This window comes from Homo sapiens, chromosome 11 (genome assembly GCF_000001405.40).
Source record: "Homo sapiens chromosome 11, GRCh38.p14 Primary Assembly".
Taxonomy (NCBI): Eukaryota; Metazoa; Chordata; class Mammalia; order Primates; family Hominidae; genus Homo; species Homo sapiens.
In genome coordinates this window covers 87,244,757-87,271,403 of record NC_000011.10, presented here as the reverse complement: position 1 = coordinate 87,271,403, position 26,647 = coordinate 87,244,757, and the positions used below count along the sequence as shown (strand labels likewise).

General features: G+C 35.5%; 1 protein-coding gene and 1 pseudogene across 5 annotated transcripts in view; one reads left to right on the top strand and one right to left on the bottom strand.

Annotated features, from left to right (window-relative positions):
• The window catches only part of TMEM135 (transmembrane protein 135), a 290,891-nt gene that overhangs the window by 57,421 nt on the left and 206,823 nt on the right, over nucleotides 1–26,647 (bottom strand). The gene's annotated exons all lie outside the window — the stretch shown is intronic.
• Nucleotides 12,078–12,570, top strand: LOC101929104 (mitochondrial import receptor subunit TOM22 homolog; annotated as a pseudogene).

Genomic DNA, 26,647 nt, shown 5'->3' with positions numbered 1-26,647 from the left:
AGCCTGCAGACATCAAGTGACTTTCTAAAGATTAAAGTTCATAGGGTGGTAATAAAATGCATGGCACAACTTTTTTCTCTTCATTCATATTGAAATCATAAAAAAATTCATAGTACATTAATGTGACCATACTGTAGCTCTTGGGGGCTGGTTATTGATCAAATTGAACAGCTCCTAAACTAAGTAAGACAATGATTACAGATATTTTTTTGGTGGTGGTATATAATTTTCAAGGAGGTCTTTCTTCTAAAGATTATAGTCAAGAAGGCAGCAATCACAATGACCTTCCTAAAAGTAAACTGATAGGTAACCTGATATAGCAAGCTTCATGAAAAGTATTTTATCACTGTGAGTCACATGAAGACAAAATGAATTATGATTTATTCGGGTGTTCCTTCAGGTATTTATTATCTGAATCTGAAAAAGTTTCTAAAAAAAAAAGCTTGTGAGAGAAAATACACAGCAATCTGTAGCCAAAGAATAATGACAGCTCATGTCTGACTAGAAAATATTGTTAACATTTTTTAAATTTATGCATTATGATTTTTGTAAAACTCAACTTTAATAATAGAGGAAAAGTTTGATAAGTCCTATAAGCCAAAATTACATATAAAATTGCTTATATTTTGGTGACTAAAATAAAAAAGCAATAGTTTATAGAAACTTGATGTCATGATCAATATTCTTATTTCTCCACAAGAACAGTGTGCTCTGGAGTACAGGAGAGCTACAAAAAGTCTTACTTAGTTTCAGAGGAAAAAGTAAATATGACAAATCATATGGTGGGAATGATTTAATTCCTCTTCATATTAAAAGAGGATGTAACCTCTGAATTAGAAACACTAAGGAAATGTTCTTTAGTTATATATTGTAGGACTTTTTACAGACAACCTACTGAATGCTATTAATTTAGCTAATTAAAATTCTTAAAGTAGAAGTAATTTTTTAACACATTCCCCTTCTTTAAAACTAGCCATTTTTATGGACAAGGACTTCATGTCTAAAACACCAAAAGCAATGGCAACAAAAGCCAAAATTGACAAATGGGATCTCATTAAACTAAAGAGCTTCTGCACACCAAAAGAAACTACCATCAGAGTGAACAGGCATCCTACAAAATGGGAGAAAATTTTTGCAACCTACTCATCTGACAAAGGGCTAATATCCAGAATCTACAATGAACTCAAACAAATTTACAAGAAAAAAACAAACAACCCCATCAAAAAGTGGGCAAAGGACATGAACAGACACTTCTCAAAAGAAGACATTTATGCAGCCAAAAGATGCATGAAAAAATGCTCACCATCACTGGCCATCAGAGAAATGCAAATCAAAACCACAATGAGATACCATCTCACACCAGTTAGAATGGCCATCATTAAAAAGTCAGGAAACAACAGGTGCTGGAGAGGATGTGGAGAAACAGGAACACTTTTACACTGTTGGTGGGACTGTAAACTAGTTCAACCATTGTGGAAGTCAGTGTGGCGATTCCTCAGGGATCTAGAACTAGAAATACCATTTGACCCAGCCATCCCATTACTGGGTATATACCCAAAGGACTATAAATCATGCTGCTATAAAGACACATGCACACGTATGTTTATTGCGGCACTATTCACAATAGCAAAGACTTAGAACCAACCCAAATGTCCATCAATGATAGACTGGATTAAGAAAATGTGGCACATATACACCATGGAATACTATGCAGCCATAAAAAACGATGAGTTCATGTCCTTTGTAGGGACATGGATGAAATTGGAAATCATCCTTCTCATAAACTATCGCAAGGACAAAAAACCAAACACCACATGTTCTCACTCATAGGTGGGAATTGAACAATGAGAACACATGGACACAGGAAGGGGAACATTACACTCTGGGGACTGTTGTGGGGTGGGAGGAGGGGGGAGGGATAGCATTAGGAGATATACCTAATGCTAAATGACAAGTTAATGGGTGCAGCACACCAGCATGGCACATGTATACATATGTAACTAACCTGCACATTGTGCACATGTACCCTAAAACTTAAAGTATGATAATAATTTAAAAAAAAAAGAAAAGAAATCCACACTTGCACAAAAAAAAAAGCTTCCTCATAAAAAAAAAAAAAAAAACCCTAAAGCAAACTTCCTCTCTGAAATCTATTACAAGATTCTTAGTAGATTATGCTTTTCTGTCCCCTCGGGGACAATGTGTAGTAGGGGGGAAACTCTAAGCTTATATCTGTAGCTGTTATTAATTAAAAGACTATAATAAAAAAAGAATTAGGAAATCCAGGCTTTGAAAAATGAGAAATAAAATGTGCATTGCGTATTTCAAAAAAAAAAAACTAGCCATTTTTAAAAGCGATTTTGAAAATCTATAATCCTACCTCTACAACAAGTTTAAGCATAAATTGTTATTTTTAAGGTAAAAATCTAAATAAACTTATAAGAAACTTAGAAAAACAAATAATTTAAACTATTTAAGAAAGACTAGGATAGGCATCTTAAGCAGAACTGTCTTTTCAATCTAGATGCTATCTGAAACTTAGGCTTCTAAGAGAAAAACCTCAAACAGCTGAAATCCAGCTTAAATACACAAAATAAATCACTTCTGACCGAAATACACTCTCAAAAGCTCTAATCAGGTTTCCACAAGCAACAAAACATACAAAACAAATAAAGAATATCAACAACATTAGTAAATTGGGTTTACTAATTGTGCAGCCAAAAAAAAAATAGCAAATAGGAGACAAAATAGAATTCTTTGTTAAATCTATGAGCATCCATTCAATGTTCTTGACCCTAAAGATTTACATTTTGGTCTTAATACACTCTTAAAACAAAGATTAAGAAGGTTATCTCATTCCAGTTTAAATTCTTAAATCATTTGTTAGAAATTTAAGTCATCTAAAATGCAATCATTGATAGACAAAGGGTATATAATCAGTAAGACATGTAAATATTCATATTCAGACCATCTTTAGAAAGGAGCAGGGGCCTGGCATGGTGGTTCACACCTGTAATCCCAACACTTTGGGAGGCCAAGGTGGGGGGATTGCATGAGCCCAAGAGTTCCAGATCAGCCTGGAAAACATAGGGAGACCCCGTCTTTACAAATAAATAAATAAATAAATAAATAAATAAATAAATAAATATCTAGGTGTGGTGAGGGTGCCTGCCTGAGAGACAGAGTAAGACCCAGTCTCAAAAAAACAGAAAAGAAGAAAGAAAAGAAAAGAAAGGAAAGGAAAGGAAATAAAGGAAAGGAGAGGGAAGGGAAGAGAGGGGGAAGGGGAGGGCCGGGCAAAAAAGAGTAGGTACTTAATCTCCCCTGAAAGTGAACATGTGAACAGGACTTTGTTTAGTTATCCTGTACTCTAGGGCACACTGTATTACAGGGAAATAAGAACACTGATCATGGCCGGGCGTGGTGGCTCACACCTGTAATCCCAACACTTTAGGAAGCCAAGGTGGGCTGATTGCCTGAGGTCAGGAGTTCGAGACCATTCTGGTCAACATGGTGAAACCCCGTCTCTACTAAAAATACAAAAATTCTCCAGGCGTCGTGGTGGCACCTGTAATCCCAGCTACTCGGAAGGCTGAGGCAGGAGAATCACTTGAACCCGGGAGGTGGAGGTTGCTGTGAGTGGAGACCATGCCACTGCACTCCAGCCTGGGCAACAGACTGACTCCATTTCAAAAAAAAAGAATACTGATCATGACATTTAGTTTCATGCATTAGTTTTTGAAATGTATATCACGTATATAATTCTATACTTTCATGAAGTTTTTATATAGTGTATCACAAAAAACAATCACGAAATCCAAATAAAAAAAGAAATAAACTTACATAACTATTTGATGCTTACTATTAACTTCCGTGGACAAAAATACCTTTCCAGTGAAATGGTTTTTTTCACAAAAACACTTTTGTTTTTCTTTTGCTATATAATAAAGCCCCCACAATCATGTGAAATCAGATACAGCAAGTTTTCCATTCTTTAGAGAAGGTTGGCTAGAATGCTTATCTTGTGTAAAAGAAGGAAATTAGAAAGTGACTTCCTACTTATCATTTAGGACTTTCTCAGCTCAAAATCTATCTTTTCCTATATATCTAAATAAATGAAATAAATAGATGATAATTTTTTTCATCCATTCCCTCTCCATGAAGGAACTAAAATTCTAATATTGCTTTTTGTTAACTTGTTAATAATATAACACACATTTTATATGAATGTATAACTAGACCTCACTTACCACTCATGGCAGAGTTCTTTGGACTCTTAAGACACTTCCAATTCATTAGCTCCATAGTTCTTTCCATTTCCAATACTTTCTTCTCACTATCCTCCTTATCCAGCTTAAATTCTATGACCCTAGGAAACACTCTACCACCTTAAGCTCCTTTCTCCTCAGTTCTTACATCACCTCCACCTGGCAAAACTCCAACCGGAGATGAAACTAATCACCTTCTCCATGCCTATAATGAGGCAACTATGTACTGCTAGAGAAAACCACACAACAAAACATAATCACCACACTCAAAGGGATCCTGAATACAGCCCAGGTAAACCTGTCATTTTAGTCTGATCTATACAAAACAAGTACGTCAAACCACATAAATTCTCTTCAGGCCTTTGACCCTCTATCCTTTCTTTCAGCAAAGACCCTGCCTCCTGCTTTAGTGAGAACCATAGAAGCTAACAGATATGACCTTCTAATGGGAAGCTGAGGAGGTTCATTCATGTCTGATAGCTTTTGTTTTGCACCATTTTCTCTTTTCTCCCCTCCTATTACATTAGATAGTAGTTAAAGCTATAAGCATGGGATAAATTATTTACAATGAAAAAAAGAGAGACAATAAGGGAGACTAGAACCAATCCTTGAAGAATTCTAAAGTTTGATGGCCAGGAAAATAAACCTTCAAAGAAACTAGAAATTTGCACTAAAAACAAGTCAGCTACATTCTGCTATATATACATACATATATATTCAAACAAACTGATTTTGAAGACAAATACGACTCTAGTGTTTTCCAACAATATTAAAACATCAGTCCTTTGATAGATGAAATTTCACAATGTTATTATTACTGAGGTCCAAAGAGCCTTTTCTCTTGTGGAAATAAAATAATCTTGACAGGAATTTTACCAGCCAAGGGTGAGGGACTTAGGGGTGGAGAACATGAAATTATTACCCTTTGCAGACACAAAACTTTCCAGTTGTAATATAGATAACTCTGGCTCCTCAAGAGCATATGTAGATTTAAAATCCTTAACTATAAACAGTAGGCTTCAGGCCTGGGTGGTCTGTGCAATGTCCAATAATATATAAATTGGCTTATCCTCAAAATAAATATTTCCTTTTTCATTACTGTGAGTCATGAATAACATTTAATCTTTGTTCAAAAACAGAAAGGATTTCAAGAAAACCTTTTAGCTGTAAGGCTAATAGATCAATAGCTCAGTATACTACTACAAATTATATGCACGTAAAGAGATCTTAAATTACTTTCTCAGAATCTCAAGGAACAATGAGAAAACTAGGAAGATTCTCAATAAGAAATTGACTCAGTGCATACAATGATCACTGATATTTTCTATACAATGTTTAATAATAAGCTATGACCTAAGGGATGAAATGAAATACAAAATACCATGTGCTCCTGTTTTTATCTCAGAGATAATTTGGCATCCTATACAAGCCACCTAAACACTATTTTAAAGTTAAGTGTTTCTTTTATTTTCTTTAAATATGCTATCAAATGGTGGCTGATTGGGTTAAATTCATCTTTAAGAGAACGTTCAAATATTTCATAAAAGGTGCATACCAATTATTTTCCAGAAGTGTTTAGATGCTTATTAAAATTTGATCTGACATAGTAGTCAAACAAAAGAAACAAATTTGGAGGAAGAGAGGAAAAAGAAGAGAAGAGAAAACATTGAGGAGTAATAGACTCAATTTATATGTAATATGGTAAAATGGTTCCCTGAAACAATCCAAAGAATTGTTCTCTTTCAGAATGAAAAGAGTCCAGTATTCTTCATGGATGACAGGAACTTGGTCTGACTCAGTACTTGCTTCCATATCTGCTTAATGAATGGGCCAGAAAATATTCTAAAATCATAACAAAGACATATTATCAGAGTGTAAAGATTCCAAAATCATCACAACCAGATGTGTAGGACTAAAAATCTTGGCTTCTAGCTATATTTCTCACTATCAGTTTATAAAATGAGCATTAAATATTATTTGTTCTAGCTCTAAATTTCTTCCTTCCAAAAGAGCTGATCTAAGTGTGAATAGACAATAAATTTCTAGTCAATCTCTTTTATGACAACAGCTGTGAGTAACATTCCAATTTCTTCTTTATGTCAAAGTTTCATGTTTTAATTGTAGCTTATTATTACTGTGGCCAATTTACTCTAGAAAATAAGAATGTATAACCTATAATATAACTATATTCTACAACTAATTTCAGACCCATCTCATGACATTTCAAGTAGTTCACAGCTTTAAAATAACACACAATCTCTTTTTATGTCTCTTTGAAAATCTAGTCAATTATTTCTCAACAAAATGAACTTTAATACTATAAGCAAGATAATGCCCTTAAAGCTAATAAACAAAGAATAAAGTTTAAGATTTTTTTGACTTTATTGATAAAATTAACCTACCATAGATCTGGAAGACTGAATTTAAATGACAACTGACTATATACAGTGAGCTTAAGGCTGGAACTACATTGTAGAGATTAAACAGCTGAAATTCTTAAAATGTACAGACTGCATTCAAATAAGTCTTCAATACATATCTGAATACATTTCATAAGAAAAAGTGATCAATTCATGATAAAAGATCAGGAGCGATTATAAACATATGCTAATGCAAAGTATAGTTCCTTCCTACTAAAAAGAAACTATCAATAATATATAAACAGTAACATAAATTTAATTTGGATCTAAAATACCATTTATCTACATACTTGTCAAACTTAAAATGACATGACTAATAATGTTAGGTGCCATAGTGGATTACTAGTTACTTCCTAGACATTATAAATTAAAGTAAAAGCAGAAAACAAACAACAAAAAAAAAGAAAAGAAAAAGAACAGAAAAGAAAAGTGAGATTGGGGAGGAGAGGAGAAAAAAAGAGAGAGAGAGACTGAAACATAGACAGAGATCATAGACATCTGACTACAAAGTAGCTTTTATCCTCTTTTCTAGTTTAAAACCTAGTCACAATAAAGGAATTTCAAAAATTTTTAACAGCACTAATTAGAAATATTTACTATTTCAAATAGAAAGATAAAGCATTCCATGACATGGTATGATATTTCCACTACAGTTTAAACTATGTCATATGTAAAATCCAAAATATACATTAAGAATTTTTTTACCAAACTTCTATCTTCCTTAATTTCTAGGTTTTTCATTTAATTTCATATTTCCTTTCTAAAAGGCTTGCCATCACAATGTGGTATTTACGAGTACAAAAATAATACTGGGTCTATTTGCCATGTCCCTCACATAAATTTCAAAATATTCAATTGTTTTAAAATAATTAATGGTATTTGAAAGTAAATTATGCAAAAATTCCACTTCTGTCTCTGCCACTAACTGCTGTGTGATCTAAGAAAAGCTACAAAAATTTTTCACGTTCATTTTCTTCACCAGAAAATAGACAATGCTTATTACATAATCTCTACTTTGCTTCATACTCTAAAACCCTATGATTCTGTGAAACTTAAGTATTGGTATTATTCACTTTAGAGAATAACACTTTTATTTATGAAATGTTGCAACATACTGGACTAAAAAGAACACTAAATCAGCTTACAGTTTATGAATTTTTGAACTTCAGTTACTTTTAATACGTAAGAATCAAGACATATGTCAAATATGTCAACCAGTTCCTAGAGTAAAAGTATGAGTGAAGTCTGGCTCTACTAGGATAAATAATGAGCCAAAGCAAAAATGGTAGGAGCCAAATCTTGACAGCTTTAAGACATGGAAAAAATTCTAAAGGAATGGAGAAGAGGACAGTGATGATGATATTGCAGTAACAAAATATGAAGAATCAGAATTTAGCAAATATTTTCAAAATGTGCTCTTCACAGTAACAGTTCTTGTATCCAATCTCCATTTAAGAGATTAAATAGGACAAATTTATCTTAGTTTCCTTATTTTCTCTGTAAATATTCTAATATGCACATTGATTGCTCAAAAATAAAACACTACTCCAAATAGGACCACATACACCTCTCTTCATATTAGTTGTTACATGCTTGTCAAGACTCAGCTGTATTTGTCCCCAAATGTGTTCATGTCAGTTGTACTTCTTAATGTAATTACGTAACTGGCTTACATATTACATAAAACAAAAAGGAAGAAAGGTTTTTTTTTTCCATGAAAACTGAGTTGAATGCTTTGAAAAGACAATATCTTATAACAAAAACAACTCAGAACTCCACCTAGGCAACTCATACTCACAAAAAACGCCTTGGTAAATGAGCAGATATGTATGTGCTAAATTGAAATAAAGTACTTAATGTATACATGTATCCAATATTTTGTAGACAATGTTAATAGAAACAAATCTCATGCTACTGCTATGAAGACAGCCTTCCTTGCATAGATTTTTGTCCCCTCCGCTCACGGCTCAAAATGAAGATATGGGGAGCTGAACTTCCCCAACTGCCCCCACAGACCTGCAGCATGAAACAGAGCTGGCCAGATAATTGGCTTGCTGTTATATGCCACTCAGATTTTATGGTTGTGTTTACAGTAGCTGATTGATACAACAATATAACAGGAAGGAACAAACATTAATAGCATGTAAAGAGCTCCTACAAATCAGAGCAATAAATTTAAAAATAAAAAATAGGTAGAGGTAGGAAATCGAAATGGCTAATAAACCAATGAAAAGGTGTTCCACCTCAAAGTACAGCAAAAATGAGGTATTACCTACATTTTAGATGATTTGACTGACAAAAAGATAAAAATTACCAACATAAACTAGGATGTAGGAATCAATAAGCACTCTTGGAGCGAAAATACATGGATACTGCCTTTTTTGGAGGACAATCTGGCAATATCTATTAACATTAAATATGTCTAGTACATTTGAACCAGCGAATCCATTTGTAGCTAAGTATCTAACCTATCAATAATATATAAACAGTAACATAAATTTAGAAATACTGGAACAGGAGCACAAAGATATTTTAAAAACAATGTTCATGGTTGTACAGTTTGCAACAACGAAAACCTGCAAATAGTGTAAATGTCTGTTGAGAAGGTTTAAATACTTATTTATAGATTTTTTTTGCAGCCCCTAAAAACAATGAGGATATGTACTGACATTTGGATAGAATCCGAAGATGCATTATTAAATAGAAAAACACTACAGAACAATATATAATTTGTGATCTCATTTTTAAAAATATAAACATAGGTACAAAGGTATGTATAGAAATAATTCTGTGTTGAACCTGATGGCTCATGTCCACAATCTCAACACTTTGGCAGGCCAAGGCAGGCCGATTCCTTGAACCCAAGAGTTCTAGACCACCCTGAGCAACGTAAGGGGATCCCGCCTCTAAAAAACAAAACTAAAAAATTAGACAGGAGTGGTGGTGCACACATGTGGTCCCAGCCACCCAGGAGGCTGAGGTGGGAGGACTGCTTAAGGCCAGACGTTTGAGGCTGCAGTGAGTCATGACTGTGCCACTGCACTCCAGGGTAAATGAAAGCGAGTCTCAAAAAAAAAGAATTCTAGAAGGATATATGCAAACTGTTAAGATGGTTTGAACTAAAAAGAGAGAAGTACAAAGAGGGAGGTATATAAAGGGGTGAGAATTTTCCATTTTTATTATTTATACTTTTGCATTGTTTGAATTTTTAAATGAAACTGTATTATTTATACAATTAACAAAATTTTAAAAAGAAACGGAGACTTCTAATTTTTTTGTTTCACACATTAATTAACGAGAAATTTTGGATAAGAAAAGTCTCTATTTTATCAATTCATCTACTAAATAATTAACAGACTCATGATTTCTAACCCACATAGAAGATTTGTAGTTAAAACTGGGTAATAAATCAAGGCAGAATATGTATTTTGGCAAAATATACATAAGGAAATATTAAAGGAGGTTGGCGCTGAGAAGAAAGGAAGAGGGAGGGGAAAGAGACCTGATAATCTTTGACCTTCTAAAGTAATTATATGAATAGCTATTTTCTGTTTTAACTGAGAAAATTCCCATTACAGAAATTCAAGATGTTGAGAAAAACGTCTTGACTCTACTTGTTGTGAGGTACTAGAATAGGTTGCCAAGAGAAGCAGTGGAATTAAATTCTCTGGAATTTCTTAAAATTACAGATTCTAAAGACAATTACAGAAGTTATTTCCTGATGTGACTTATGGCTCTGCTATTCAGAGTGTGACACGAGGACCAGAACTAGCATCGCCTGGGAGAGTGTTGGAACTACTGAAGCTCACATCCCACCCCAGACCTACTGAATCTTAATCTGCATTTTTAAAAGATTCAATGTTAAAGTTTGGGAACTGCTTTATAGCCCTTACATCAGACATTTAAATTTGTAACAGTTTATTAACAACAACTGCACATTAGGAATCAATAAAGAGAAATACCTCATTTGATTAAAAAAAAAAACCTTTCTTTTTCATCCTTATCAGTACTATTTCTGTTTTCCCAAAGAACAATAAAAAATTAATGCCCTATTTTATTAGGCCTATTTCTTTTAAGAAGGTAAAAGCTCCATCAGTCTAACTCGCATTTACTCACACAGTTTTTGTTAAATATTATAATGTAACAGAAAATTAAAAGGGATGTAATACAAATCCAAAAAAAAATAGATAATAAATTCAGGAAAGTGACCGGAATTTTAATGATTATAGACTTCTTAGCATTCAAGTAATTTCAACAAGTTAGGCTTGCTATAATAAATGTCTCTACGTGTTTCATATCAGTAGAAGTTGCTGGTGGTTTTCAAAAGTGAGATAAGGAAAGCCTTATCTTTCATAAGAATCCCTGAAAATATCTTACAATGACACCCTGCAAGGAAGGTTCATCCACAATATTAGAATTTGGAATTATCAAATACAACAAACATTTTTTAACATTCAAGGAAGAAACAGAAGTTAACAATTGTGTTTCCAATAATAGAACTGGATGCTTTTGTGATAATAAAAGAAATCTAACCTGATAAGCTCAATTGTTTTCCACTGTCTGATTTTTAATATTATTCTTGTTCTGAACATGCCCAAAGAGCTCAAAACCATAAAAATTGCATAATCCATTTCAGTGATCAAATCACTTTAGAAAGCATTTGAGAGCAGCTGAGATTCAGAGGTCCTAAGCTGTCACAAAGCTTGAAAACCCAAAGCTGTGTTCTCCTCCTCTTTACATTTTGCATTTGAGGATGACAGGAACATGATAAACAGCCAGCACTCAGCCACCATCAAGGCCCTACCAGTACAAAGAGGCTTTGTGATTAACAAGGGAAAATAAAAAAGGGAAGAGACCCACTTTTTCCTTCCTCTAGGGAAGACGCTAGACAGAGATGACTGAAATTTTAGAACTTAAAAGCTTCTCCCATTTCTATTAGCTCACTTTGCAGGTAAACATTTTCCTGGCTCAGTGACTCAATCACACATCTGAAACAAAATGTGCTGAAAATTGATAATGGTGGGAAAATATTCTGTTTTGCTGTGAATTTTAGATGAACTTGTATATCGATGGTGTACTTTCTCTCCCAATGATCCCATTCACTGAAACTATACAACATGAAAAATAAGCCTCCAAATATGGATGTTTTATTTGAAGTTTTAAGGATGTAGACTGGAATAAGGCCAAAAAATTTCCATTTGTGCTATCTATGCTAATTCTTAAAAATGTCTGAAATAGACCCATGGAAGAGGAAAAAAATGTAACATGATATATATATGTAGTGTGTGTGTGTATTCCCGCTCTACACGCGTACACACATACACATATACACACACACATAAAATTTCCTTCTGGGTGTTGTCATTCATTTCAAAAATTATCCATGGCAAGTACAGTGGTTTGGAAATATCTTTTCCCTATCCTTTTTTTCCACTTCTGGTGTCCCCTACAGCCATGGCCGCTGTCGCAGGGGAACCCCTATCCCCGGAGGAATTGCTCCCAAAAGGCGACGTGGAGAAGACTAAGGAGGAGTTGGAGGAGGACGACGAGGAGAAGCTAGATGAGACCTGGTCGGAGAGACTATGGGGCCTGATGGAGATGTTTCCGAAGAGGGTCCGGTCTGCGGCCAGAACCTCTTCTTTCTCTCCCTCTTTGTGGCTCACAAAATGTACAGGTTTCCCAGGGCAGCCGTGTGGATTGGGACCACTTCCTTTATGATCCTGGTTCTTCCCGTTGTCTTTGAGACTGAGAAGATGCAAACCGAGCAACAGCAGCAACTGCAGCAGCAGCAGATACTTCTAGGGCCTAACACAGGGCTCTCAGGAAGAATGCAAGGGGCTCTTCCTTCACTTCCTGGAAAGATCTAGATTGTTACTGCCGTATATGAGCTGTCTCCGTGGGAGAAGTCAGAAATTCAATTGTGTTTGAACTGCTGATTATTTGGATTTTTTTTTAACTTTGGCACATTGATCCATCTAAACCTGGTGGGAAGAAATCTCCCCACATTGTCTCATGAAGAGACTTAATTGCAACTGTGCCCTCCACACTATCCTGACTTACTTCAGTCTTCACTCTGATACCACAGTGCAGCCATGCAAATGGTTATTCCAGCTCTGGCCACACACTCTTTTCACAAAATTGCTCCTAACTGGAAGATCTCACTTTCTCCTGTGGGGTAGGAACTGACACCAGTGGGAGGGATGTGCCCCTGACCATTAATGACTGCTTTCTTTTTTTTCCTTAAAGAATGGAGCTGTTGGGGAGGGACATGCACACAATGTAAAACAGACAAAATGCATTACAACTGTGGTGTAATGTGGCCACTATGAATCCCTATGTATAAGAGGAAAGAGGCTGGCTGCAGCTTTAGCCACAGGATGGGGACTGGGGAAGACAGAGCAGGAGCTCATTTCCTCTGCACATTTTGGCTGTTAGATTTGTGTGTGTGTTTAAAAAAAGAGAAGCCAGTGCTCATTTTTTGTATTTAAATATTAAAAGTGATTCCAACTGAAAAAAAAAAAGGCTTTTCCCCAAAATAAACACAGAATACAGTAAAATAATTATTGTGTAAAATATAATCAATATCAATATATAATCAAATATATATAATATATGCAGAAAATATAATCAAGTTATTAACTGATTATATTTCTAAAGACTATAAATGTAATTTCTATTCATACTAAATTGGAATGTATTCTTAGAAAGGGACTTAGACGTACATATGGTATAGGAAGTACGTGCTTGTGGTCAGTTTGTATCTGGCAATCTGTGACTTAATTTTGATCAAGAATGTGCCAGATTTATATTTAAAAATACATTCACAGTTTTATTGAGATACCATTGAAATATTATACAATTCACTATCTAAACTGTATCAGTCAGTGGTTTCTGGTATATTCAGACTTGTGCAGCCATCACCACAATTACTTTTAGAACATTTTCATCAACCCTAAAAAAAACCCTTACCCATTAATAGTCATTCCCTACACTCCCAACTCCCCTAGGCCACCAATCTAATTTTTATCTCTACAGATTTTTCTATTCTGGACATTTTTGATAAATAGAATCATATAAATATGACGTTTACAGCTTAGATTTAAATAATAAAAACAACTAACATTTATTGAGTGCTTACTATGCAGTAGATATTCAATACAATAACCCCATGAGGTAAGTACTATTATTATCCCCACTGAAGACGAGAAATGTGAGGCACAAAGAGGCTACATAACTTACCCAAAGTCACAAAACAAGTAAGATGGAGAAGGATTTGAACCAACACAGCTGAACCCCAGAGTTCCCTCTCAACTACACTATAGTGTCTTTTGATTACCTCCGACACAGAACTTAAACAAAAGAAAATAACAGAAAGAAAGAATCAGGCTTGAGAAAGACACAGTGAGTTATAGCATAGCCCAATGAGTTATAGCACCTCACAAGCAGTAAAGCAAACAGTTAAATTTAACTGCTTCAAATTTGAGCATCTGTATCAGTAAAGTCTCATCTAAGAACTTTCTGTGATTAGTAATAATGCTCCTTAAACAAGAAGCAGACAGCATGCAAAAGAGGATTCCAGAACTCGAAAGGATATAATGTTTGGATGTTTAGTCACACTCAACATTGCTAAGAGTTATCACCAGTTTCTTAGTGAAGAACTGAAGATTAGTATAAGAATCCATTTCTAGGGTTTATATGGAAATACAAAGGCATATAATCATATAGCCTACATAATATAATCTCATTTGAGAAGCTGAAAGACATATATACACATATACACATACACATACACACACACAAATGTGTGGAAGGAGAGAGGAAAGAAGTGAAGGCAGGAGGAAAGAAAGGGGCAAAGGAGGGAGGAAAAGAGGAAGAGTGAGGGCAAGCAGGACCAACAGACAGATAGAGGCATAGCCAACAGACTAAAAGTATACAAACAAAGCTGGTAGTTACTTGTCTTTGAAAGAAGAGATTATGGGTGATAATTATTATTATTTTGTTCAATCATATTTGCTCATTTTTCCACAATGAGCAAAAGACATGTTTTTGCCCCCAAAAAATCACTTTAATATAATCTTAATTTGAGGCCATTGTCCTCTAAAATACTCTACAGAACTCCAGTTATTGACTTTAATTCACAGGGCATCATGTCTCTATATGAAGCTTCCTCATTCTCAATGAATCTTTTTATATTCATCATAAATTCCCAAATTAAAAAATATTTTGAGGAATCATACTACATATTACAACATAATTTAAGTAAACAAACCCAAAAGTTAATTCTTTAAGGTATCTGCATTTTTTCATCTTTTCATAGCGAACCGCTTCCAACTTCTGAATTTATAATTTGCAAATTATATCTTATTCCAAATAACTTTAATCTCATATTTTCAAAATCAGATTATATTTATATCTCAAGCCTAAATGAGGTGGAATTAGTTGTAATTAAAACTGAGGTATAAAGGTATGTAAGTTTATATAGTTGGAATCACTTATTTTGGCTAATATAATGGATCCTCTAATAATATTTAAACATAAAGCGACATTTAGTTTAAAAGTAAATTCAAATAAGTTTATAACTTCAAAACCTCATTTTAAAAGACATCCATTAAAAGGTTGTCCTAACATGGAGACAGGGAGTAATCTACCCCTTAGGGTAATAGGCAGGTCTTGAGGTCAATGTTTTTAATAGATCCCTGAAACATCAATGTATTTCATTATAAAGTTAAAAAGTTATTCCCAGTTTTGTAACTTACCAACCAGATGATATACTAGCAAATTCTGGGAAAATAATGTCTTATAGCTACATTGAAGATACACACAAAATGAATATATATCCTTTAAATATAAAAGGCTACTCTAGATAAATACTGAAGACCTCCTCTTACCTCACTGCTTCTAGCAACCATTTCCTCTTAACCCTCCCTTCTCTTCACCTTCACTTCCTCTCTTACAGGCAGGGAGAGAAACAGTCAACTATAAAGAAAGAAGGCCAACTGCATGGCAGCTCTTTGGCTATGATAATTTTTTAAATTGCTTGTAGATACTTTTTTTTTTTTCTTTCAAGAGACAAGATTCTCCTTATGTTGCCCAGGCTGGAGTACAGTGTCTACTCACAGGCACAATCGTAGCGCACTACAGCCCTGAATTCCTGGGCTCAAGCAATCTTCCTTTCTCAGCCTCCTGTGTAACTGGGACTGTAGGCATGTGCCACCATGCCCAGCTCTTGCAGATACTTTAAGAGTCACCTGTGGCTTTATTTAGTTATGATAAAACATGTCCAGAAAGATATAAATAATGAAGAAAAATTGGATACCTTGTTTGGCTTCATTCATCACTCATTTTAATCTTTCTAGCTTTTTAAATCCAGTTTTCAATGGATACACTAACAACTAGTTCAGAGTAAGGCTGGCAATAGAGAGAAGGATGGCAGAATTTTGCTCCTCTGCAAATTCAGGGCCAACACATTTGTTTCTTTGCCCTGCCCTCTTCTTCCGACCCCTACCTGCTCTGAAGTGCCAATCTCCACTCTATACTCCAAGATCCCTTTTTGTCCAGTCCCATTTACTGTGCTGTCCCAAATTCCTCTAGTCAGAATGGTGTCAGAGTGGGGGAGAAATGGAGAAGAAAGGGAAAAAAAGAGGAAGGAAAGGAAAAGCCCCACTTTAAATCATTATCCCAATCCTTTGGCTCCTCAATTTGTAGTATTAACCTATTTAGTTTTGTTATTTTATATTTTGTAGGGATGGGGTCTCCCTATGTTGTCCAAGCTGGTATCGAACCCCTGGGCTCAAACAATCCTCCTGCCTTGGCTCTTAAAATGCTGGAATTACAGGAATGAGCTGCCACACCAGGCCCTTATTTTGTTTTTAACCATTCTCTCCCTAAGATCTCCAGTTCTGTCCTTCTGTCCCATCACTCGCCATCCACCCACACACTGAACTCTAGCTCCAAATATGGGATTGTGGAGTAGCTCACATCTGGATAATTCCCAGTCCTTTTGCTTTAGTGCTAACATGCTGGACATCAATGTATTTTCCCAAAGAAATATTATCATAAATATTATTTGTTTCTATAGTAGCATTGGCACTGCACTTCAACTATATTTTATAGATTCATTTATAGGTTGAATAACTTTTAAAGATGGGCTTGGAAACATAAATAATGTTTAAAAATATTATGTTCTTGTAGGATTATGTGTTCTAACTTTTCATAGCCACAGAGATCATTTTATCCATGACAAATTTAAAATGAAAGAAGCCAAGTATCTTATTGAAGGCCACAGAGTTTGTAAGTGGTAGAGCCAAAACCTAAAGAGGGGTCTGTTATATATGGCATTGAAGACTGTACAATTTCTATTCTACCATGGAATCTCCTAAAACACATGTATGTTTTTTAATTAAGTCAATGAAAACTCTGAAAGGCTAAAAATTTTACTTCTAATCCTTAAATTTTTTTAACTGAGTATCATTCATTCAAACATTTACTGGGTACTGTTTTACCTAAAACTCCCTCTAGTAATCACCAATACTAATAAACTATTACTGACATTGTCAATGAAAAAAATACTCAAATTATTTTAAAAACTCACCACTGATATTAGAAATTTATCATAATTATTTCTTTTACCTATGAATGTTTGATGTGCTGAGACTTCTGCAAAGGTAACAGATTGTTATATATAAGACACCCTTCTTGCTCAAAACAGAAATGCTTTATTGAAAAAATGTTTTTTTAAAATCTGTGGACTGTCATTTTCAAAACAAGAATAATTTATTTTCATTTCTCATAACTTCTAAAGAGTAAACTGAATTTATAAGAATTATCAATTTTTTGTCAATAATATAAAAAGAATTTGTAAAACATGAAACAAATTTACTTTTTCATGAGACAACGATTGTTACTATTAAATTCTAGGTAAATTGTAACTTAGAAATAAGATTACACAGTGCCAATTTGATGTACCTTAACAATGCTAACAGGTTAAAATTCCATCAGGTTAGAAGTGTACACCAGGATATATATATATATATATATATATATATATATATATATATATATATATATATATATATATATATATGGCTCATCCTTTAAGTTCAAACAACAATCTTGATTGACAAAGAGGCTACTGTATCCAGTGGAACCTCTGGGAACTACTGTAGAACTAGAATAAGACCATCAGCAATGAATAACATATTAGTGGTGTGAGTTTTCCACTGATTTAAAAACATGTGAATGTCATCCACTTTTGAACTTTGACATCAGTGAAAAATCACAAACAAAATATTCACATTTTTAAAACCACCTAAGAATGTCATTTTTATTGCAAGTGTCTGAAAGGCAACTGGCCATTTTTGACATGATTGTGTCCCATTAAGTCCTTACCTTAGGGGTCGCATTTTAGGTTCATGCTGTTTCTCCATACAATATTTCTCTTTGCCTTCTACTAAAACAATTTATATTCATTATAAAATGTTAGAGTAACTATCTGGGCACAACTACCTCAAAGACTGACAGGTAAAAAAATGACAACAGATTTGCCACAAGTTTCTCATTCTTAGAGTACACTCAACAAATGAGCAGGCTAATTTTTTTCTACCAATAAAGAAAGTCAGATCACAGTCATGTGACTTGGTGTAATAAGCTTTGTATTCTCACAGGAAATGATTCACAGCATTTATGAACCTATGTTTTCTCATGTTTTCCATTTGTTTTGAGGAAAGTAACACTCCTAACAATCTCAATACTTCTTCTCATTGAACAAATTTTGCATTTTTGGTAAACTCACAGGTTTGGCTGCCAATAATAGAAGTGCCTCATTTCATCTGTATATATCTTCTGAGGAATAATGGCTTCATGTTTGTCCTTGTCTATATATAATACACACACACACACACACACACACACACACACATATATATTTTAATTTTTTTTTTTTTTTGAGATTTAGTTCTGCTCTTGTTGCCCAGGCTGGAGTGCAATGGTGTGATCTTGGCTCACCACAGCCTCCACCTCCCAGGTCCAGGCGATTCTCCTGCCTCAGCCACCCAAGTAGCTGGGATTACAGGCATGTGCCCCATGCCTGGCTAATTTTGTATTTTTAGTAGTGACGGGGTTTCTCCATGTTGGTCAGGCTGGTCTCAAACTCCTGACCTCAGGTGATCTACCTGCCTCAGCCTCCCAAAGTGCTGGGATTACAGGCATGAGCCACTGTGCCCGGCTCCATGTCTATTTTTATAAGAAATTAAATTATCTTTTAAGAAAGACCATGTATTTAGAAAGCCACGAGCATTAGATTTTTCTATTTTCTACTTTTTTTCAGTCCTCTTTCACTTAAAACACATGTGCAAGGCTTCCAAACCATTTTATTTCTTCCTAATCATTTATAATAATTTTTCCCAGACAATTTTAATAATCTACCCCTAAATGTTGACATTATGGACCAGAGTTTAGACTCTATTCTCTTTCCCATTCCCCAATTTATCAATCTCGTCTGCTTCTTCAATCTTCTCTTATTCACTTAAACTTTCCCAGAGTCTAGTCTCTCCAGTCTAAGAAAGAGAGAGAAGGAGGGTAGGAAGGGGACAAGAAAGAAAAGAAAAACCCTTAATCCTCTAGCAAATGGCCCTATCTTTTTCTCTCAAGCTTCTTGAGTTTACTAAACTCACTCTTACTTCCTTATTTCACATTTATTTCTTAATCCACTACCCCAACCCACCTACAGAAATTTCTCTAGCAGCTTACCACTGACCATCAGATTGCAGATGAAGACTTTTTACCTCTCACTTACTGGATACATCTAGAGCAATAACAATAAAGATAATGCTGTCCTTACTGAAATTGTGTATTTAGTCAACTTTCTCTCTTGGTTTAAAAACAATCACTACTCTTAACTCTGCGTTTGCTAAGTGATCAGTCACTGTTCTAGGTGCTCACGCGTTTTAGTTCAGTGTTTTTTCTCACTACTGGCTGTTAGCCATCAGTGAGTCACAGCAGCTTTTTAATTACATAAATTAGAATAGGAAATATCCAAATATATCACATGTAGGAAGGTTCAGTATTTTTCTGGGAAATTTATATACATATATATACATGTATATATGGTAACATAATCATAATATATAAAATATCGTTCTTATTTTGGGTTGTCACATCAAAAACATTTGAAAGACAATGTGTCGTATTCAATCCTCAAAGCCCTACCTATGAGGCCCACATGTTAATTTACACTTTTCATAATGAAGAAAATGAGGTGTAGCAAAGTTATGTAATTCGTCTAAAGTCAGACAGCTAGTGTGACAGCTAACAGTAGCACCTAAATTTAACAAGGTATTTATAATGCCTCTTGCCACTACTCTGGCCTCTGCTTTACTGACTCCTTTCCTACTGCCTATGCTTCAAACATCAAGATTCTCCAGTCCATACTTGGAACACTTTTTCTTACTCTCCATATTCTCACTACAGAACACTATCAACCTGCATGGTTTAAACTAATATCTACATGCTGATAACTCCTAAATTTCTATCCCTGACCCAGATTTATCACCTGAGCTCTGAATACCCAACTGTTACCCATTATTTCTCTAGCTGAATGTCATAAAAGAACCTCAGCCTCAGTATTTGCAAAGCTTGTATTCAATTTTCACACATTTTTCCTATTTTATAATTTGCTTACCTTCCAGCGTTTTTCATCTTCCTCATCCAAGCAGCAATCCTCATATCTCAGATAAACCTACTCTCCACCGTATCATTGCCATAAGTTTTGGTCAAGTCCTCACCATTTCTCTGCTGGATAACTGCAAGAGCATCCCCTATTACCTGTGATATACTCCCTCCAAATCCCAAATTCACTCTCTGCATTGCTGCAAGTAATCCCTTTACAATAAAATCTAATTATTTAAGGCACATCTCCTAACTCTGAAATACAACTTTTAACCTCTAAATTCTGTATATAATTTGATTTATTTAGGCTAGGTTCTTATGTATTTTTAAGCAATATTTTTTTAAAAAGAACCTAAGACCATATATTTGGCCACAAAACAAGTCTTAAAAAATTCAAAAACTTGAAATCATATCAAGTCTCTTCTCTGACCAGAACGGAAAAAAATTAGAAGTCAATAACAAAGGAAACTTTGGAAACTACACATAGACATTAAACAATACACTCCTGAGTGACCAATGAAAAAATTAAGAAGAAAATTTAAAAATTTCTTGAAACAAATGAAAATGGAAACACAACAAACCAAAATCTATGAAATACAGTGAAAGCAATACTAAGAGAAAAGTTTATAATAAGCACCTACATCAAAAAGCAGAAAAACTTTAAGCAAACAACATAACAATGCATCTTAAAGAACTAGAAAAGCAAGAGCAAACCAAGCCCAAAATTAGCAGAAGAAAATAATATCAAAATAGAATAAAATACATACAAAAATACAAAAGATCAAAAAAATGAAAAGTTGGTTTTTTGAAAAGATAAATAGATCGACAAAACTTTAGCCAGAATAACTAAACAAAATGCACAAATACATCAGAGATGAAAAAGGAGACAGTGCGATTCATGTAATTCAACTGAATTACAGCAGAAATGCAAATGCTCCTAAGAGACTATAATGATCAACTATATGCCAATAAATTGGAATACCTTCAAGAAATGAATACATTCCTAGACACATACAATCTACCAAAATTGAACCATGAAGAATTCCAAAACCTGAATAGATCAAAGACAAAGGATGAGATTGAAGCTGTAATAAAAAGCCTCCCAGCAAAGAAAAGTCCAGAACCTGATAGTTTCACTGCAGAATTTTACTATAAGAACTAATACCAATCCTACTCAAACTATTCTAAAAATAAAGGAGAAAAGAATACTTCCAAACTCATTCTATGAGGACAATAGTACCCTGATATCAAAACCAAACACATAGCAATAAAAGAAAACTACAGGTCAATATATCTGATGAACACTGATACAAAAATCCTCAACAAAATACTAGCAAACCAAATTCCACAGCACAGTAAAAAGATAATTCATCATGAAAAACTGGGATTTATCCCAGGGATACAAGGATGTTTCAACATAAGCAAATCAGTACTAAGTGAAAGCAGTACTAAGAGAAAAGTTATAACAATAAGCACATCAAAAAAACAGAAAACCTTTAAACAACCTAACAATGCATCTTAGAGAACTAGAAAAGAGCAAAGCAAGCCCAAAATTAGCAGAAGAAAATAACATCAATGTAGAAATAAATGAAATACACACAAAAAATACAAAAGATCAACAAGACAAAAAGTTGGTTTTTTTGAAAAGATAAATCAATCAATGTGATACATCATATAAACTATGAAAAACAAAAAACATATGCTCATTTCAATTGATGCTGGAAAAGCACTTAACAAAATTCAACATCTTTTCATGATAAAAACCCTCAAAAACCTGGGTATCAAAGGAATATACTTCCACATAATAGCAGTCACACACAACAGACCCACAGATAGTATCATAGTGAATGAGAAAAAACTGAAAGCCTTTCTTCTAAGATCTGGAACACAACAGGGATGCCCACTTTCATGACTGTTATTCAACGTAGTACTGGAAGTCCTAGCTAGAGCAATCAGACAAGAGACAGAAATGAAATTCAAATTGGAAACAAAGAAGTTAAATTATCCTTCTTTGCAGATGATAGACATGGAAAAACCTAAAGACTCTACCAAAAACTATTAGAATAAACAAATTCAGTAAAGTTGCAGGATCCAAATCAACATACTAAAATCAGTAGCATTTCTATATCCCAACAATGAACATTCTGAAAAATAAATCAAGAAAGTAATCCCATTTACAATAGCTACAAATACAATTAAATACCTAGGAATTAACGAAAGAAATGGAAGATCTCTACAATGAAAACTATAAAACACTGATGCAAGAAATTAAAGAGGACACCAAAAAATAAAAAGATTTCCATGTTCATAGATTATAAGAATCAGTATTGTCAAAATGTCCACACTACCCAAAGCAATCTACAGATTCAGTACAATCTGATCAAAATGTCAATGACAGTCTTCATAGAAATAGAAAAAAAAATCATATAATTTATATGGAACCACAAATGACCAAAAATAGCCAAAGCTATCATAAGCAAGAAGAACAAAATTGGAAGAATCATATTACCTGACTTCAAATTACACTACAATTACACTACTTCTTCAAAAGAAGACATACAAATGGCAAGCAGGTATATAAGAAGGTGCTCAACATCACTGATCATCAGAGAAATGCAAATCAAAAATACAATGAGATATCATCTCACCCTAGTTAAAATGGCTTTTATCCAAAAGACAAGCAATAACAAATGCTGTGAGAAGATGTGAAGAAAAGGAACCCTTGTACACTGTTGGTGGCAATGTAAATTAGTACAACCACTATGGAGAACAGTTTAGAGGTTTCTCAAAGAACTAAAAATAGAACTACAATATGAAACAGCAATCTCACTGCTAGGTGTACTCCCAAAAGAAAGCAAATCAGTATATCAAAGAGATATCAAGCACTCTCACATTTATTGCAGCATTATTCACAACAGCCAAGATTTGCAAGCAATATAAGTTCCCATCAACACATGAATGGATAAACAAAATATAGTACACACTCACGATGGAATGCTATTCAGCTATTTTCTTTTTTTTTTTTTTTTTAAAAAGGCTATCAAGCTGGCAGCCAAGATGGCTGAATAGGAACAGCTCCAGTCTAAAGCCCCCAGTGTGAGCGACGCAGAAGACGGGTGATTTCTGCATTTCCATCTGAGGTACCGGGTTTATCTCACTAGGGAGTGCCAGAGAGTGGGTGCAGTACAGTGGGTGCAGGGCAACATACGCAAGCCGAAGCAGGGCGAGGCATTGCCTCACTTGGGAAGCACAAGGGATCAGGGAGTTCCCTTTCCTAGTCAAAGAAAGGGGTGACAGACGGCACCTGGAAAATCGGGTCACTCCCACCCTAATACTGCGCTTTTCCGACAGGCTTAAAAAACGGCGCACCAGGAGATTATATCCCACACCTGGCTCGGAGGGTCCTACGCCCACGGAGTCTGACTGACTGCTAGCACAGCAGTCTGTGATCAAACTGCAAGGTGGCAGCGAGGCTGGGGGAGGGGTGCCTGCCATTGCCCAGGCTTGCTTAGGTAAACAAAGCAGCTGGGAAGCTCGAACTGGGTGGAGCCCACCACAGCTCAAGGAGGCCTGCCTGCCTCTGTAGGCTCCACCTCTGGGGGAATGGCACAGACAAACAAAAAGACAGCAGTAACCTGTGCAGACTTAAATATCCCTGTCTGACAGTTTTGAAGACAGTAGTGGTTCTCCCAGCACACAGCTGGAGATCTGAGAACGGGCAGACTGCCTCCTTAAGTGGGTCCCTGACCCCTGACCCCCGAGCAGCCTAACTGGGAAACATCCCCCAGTAGGGGCAGACCGACACCTCACACGGCCAGGTACTCCTCTGAGACAAAACTTCCAGAGGAACGATCAGACATCAGCATTCATGGTTCACAAAAATCCGCTCTTCTGCAGCCACGGCTGCTGGTACCCAGGCAAACAGGGTCTGGAGTGGACCTCTAGCAAACTCCAACAGACCTGCAGCTGAGCGTCCTGTCTGTTAGAAGGAAAACTAACAAACAGAAAGGACATCCACACCAAAAACCCATCTGTTCATCACCATCATCAAAGACCAAAAGTAGATAAAACCACAAAGATGGGGAAAAAACAGAACAGAAAAACTGGAAACTCTAAAAAGCAGAGTGCCGCTCCTCCTCCAAAGGAACGCAGCTCCTCACCAGCAATGGAACAACGTTGGACGGAGAATGACTTTGACGAGTTGAGAGAAGAAGCCTTCAGACAATCAAACTACTCTGAGCTACAGGAGGAAATTCAAACCAAAGGCAAAGAAGTTGAAAACTTTGAAAAAAATTTAGACGAATGTATAACTAGCATAACCAATACAGAGAAGTGCTTAAAGGAGCTGATGGAGCTGAAAGCCAAGGCTCGAGAACTACGTGAAGAATGCAGAAGCCTCAGGAGCCGACACAATCAACTGGAAAAAAGGGTATCAGTGATGGAAGATCAAATGAATGAAATGAAGCAAGAAGGGAAGTTTAGAGAAAAAAGAACACAAAGAAACGAACAAAGCCTCCAAGAAATATGGGACTATGTGAAAACACCAAATCTACGTCTGACTGGTGTACCTGAAAGTGACAGGGAGAATGCAACCAAGTTGGAAAACACTCTGCAGGATATTATCCAGGAGAACTTCCCCAATCTAGCAAGGCAGGCCAACATTCAGATTCAGGAAATACAGAGAATGCCACAAAGATACTCCTCGAGAAGAGCAACTCCAAGACACATAATTGTCAGATTCACCAAAGTTGAAATGAAGGAAAAAATGTTAAGGGCAGCCAGAGAGAAAGGTCGGGTTACCCACAAAGGGAAGCCCATTGGACTAACAGCGGATCTCTTGGCAGAAACTCTACAAGCCAGAAGACAGTGGGGGCCAATATTCAACATTCTTAAAGAAAAGAATTTTCAACCCAGAATTTCATATCCAGCCAAACTAACCTTCATAAGTGAAGGAGAAATAAAATACTTTACAGACAAGCAAATGCCGAGAGATTTTGTCACCACCAGGCCTGCCCTAAAAGAGTTCCTGAAGGAAGCACTAAACATGGAAAGGCACAACCGGTACCAGCCGCTGCAAAATCATGCCAAATTGTAAAGACCATTGAGGCTAGGAAGAAATTGCAACAACTAACGAGCAAAATAACCAGCTAACATCATAATGACAGGATCAAATTCACACATAACAATATTAACTTAAAATGTAAATGGACTAAATGCTCCAATTAAAAGACACAGACTGGCAAATTGGATAAAGAGTCAAGACCCATCAGTGTGCTGTACTCAGGAAACCCATCTCAAGTGCACAGACACACACAGGCTCAAAATAAAAGGATGGAGGAAGATCTACCAAGCAAATGGAAAACAAAAAAAGGCAGGGGTTGCAATCCTAGTCTCTGATAAAACAGACTTTAAACCAACAAAAATCAAAAGAGACAAAGAAGGCCATTACGTAATGGTAAAGGGATCAATTCAACAAGAAGAGCTAACTATCCTAAATACATATGCACCCAATACAGGAGCACCCAGATTCATAAAGCAAGTCCTGAGTGACCTACAAAGAGACTTAGACTCCCACACAATAATAATGGGAGACTTTAACACCCCACTGTCAACATTAGACAGATCAGCGAGTCAGAAAGTTAACAAGGATACCTAGCAATTGAACTCAGCTCTGCACCAAGCGGACCTAACAGACATCTACAGAACCCTCCACCCCAAATCAACAGAATATATATTTTTTTCAGCACCACACCACACCTATTCCAAAATTGACCACATACGTGGAAGTAAAGCTCTCCTCAGCAAATGTAAAAGAACAGAAATTATAACCAACTGTCTCTCAGACCACAGTGCAATCAAATTAGAACTCAGGATTAAGAAACTCACTCAAAACCGCTCAACTACATGGAAACTGAACAACCTGCTCCTGAATGACTACTGAGTACATAACGAAATGAAGGCAGAAATAAAGATGTTCTTTGAAACCAAGGAGAACAAAGATACAACATACCACAATCTCTGGGACACATTCAAAGCACTGCGCAGAGGGAAATTTATAGCACTAAATGCCCACAAGAGAAAACAGGAAAGATCCAAAATTGACACCCGAACATCGCAATTAAAAGAACTAGAAAAGCAAGAGCAAACACATTCAAAAGCTAGCAGAAGGCAAGAAATAACTAAAATCAGAGCAGAACTGAAGGAAACAGAGACACAAAAAACCCTTCAAAAAATTAATGAATCCAGGAGCTGGTTCTTTGAAAGGATCAAAAAAATTGATAGACCGCTAGCAAG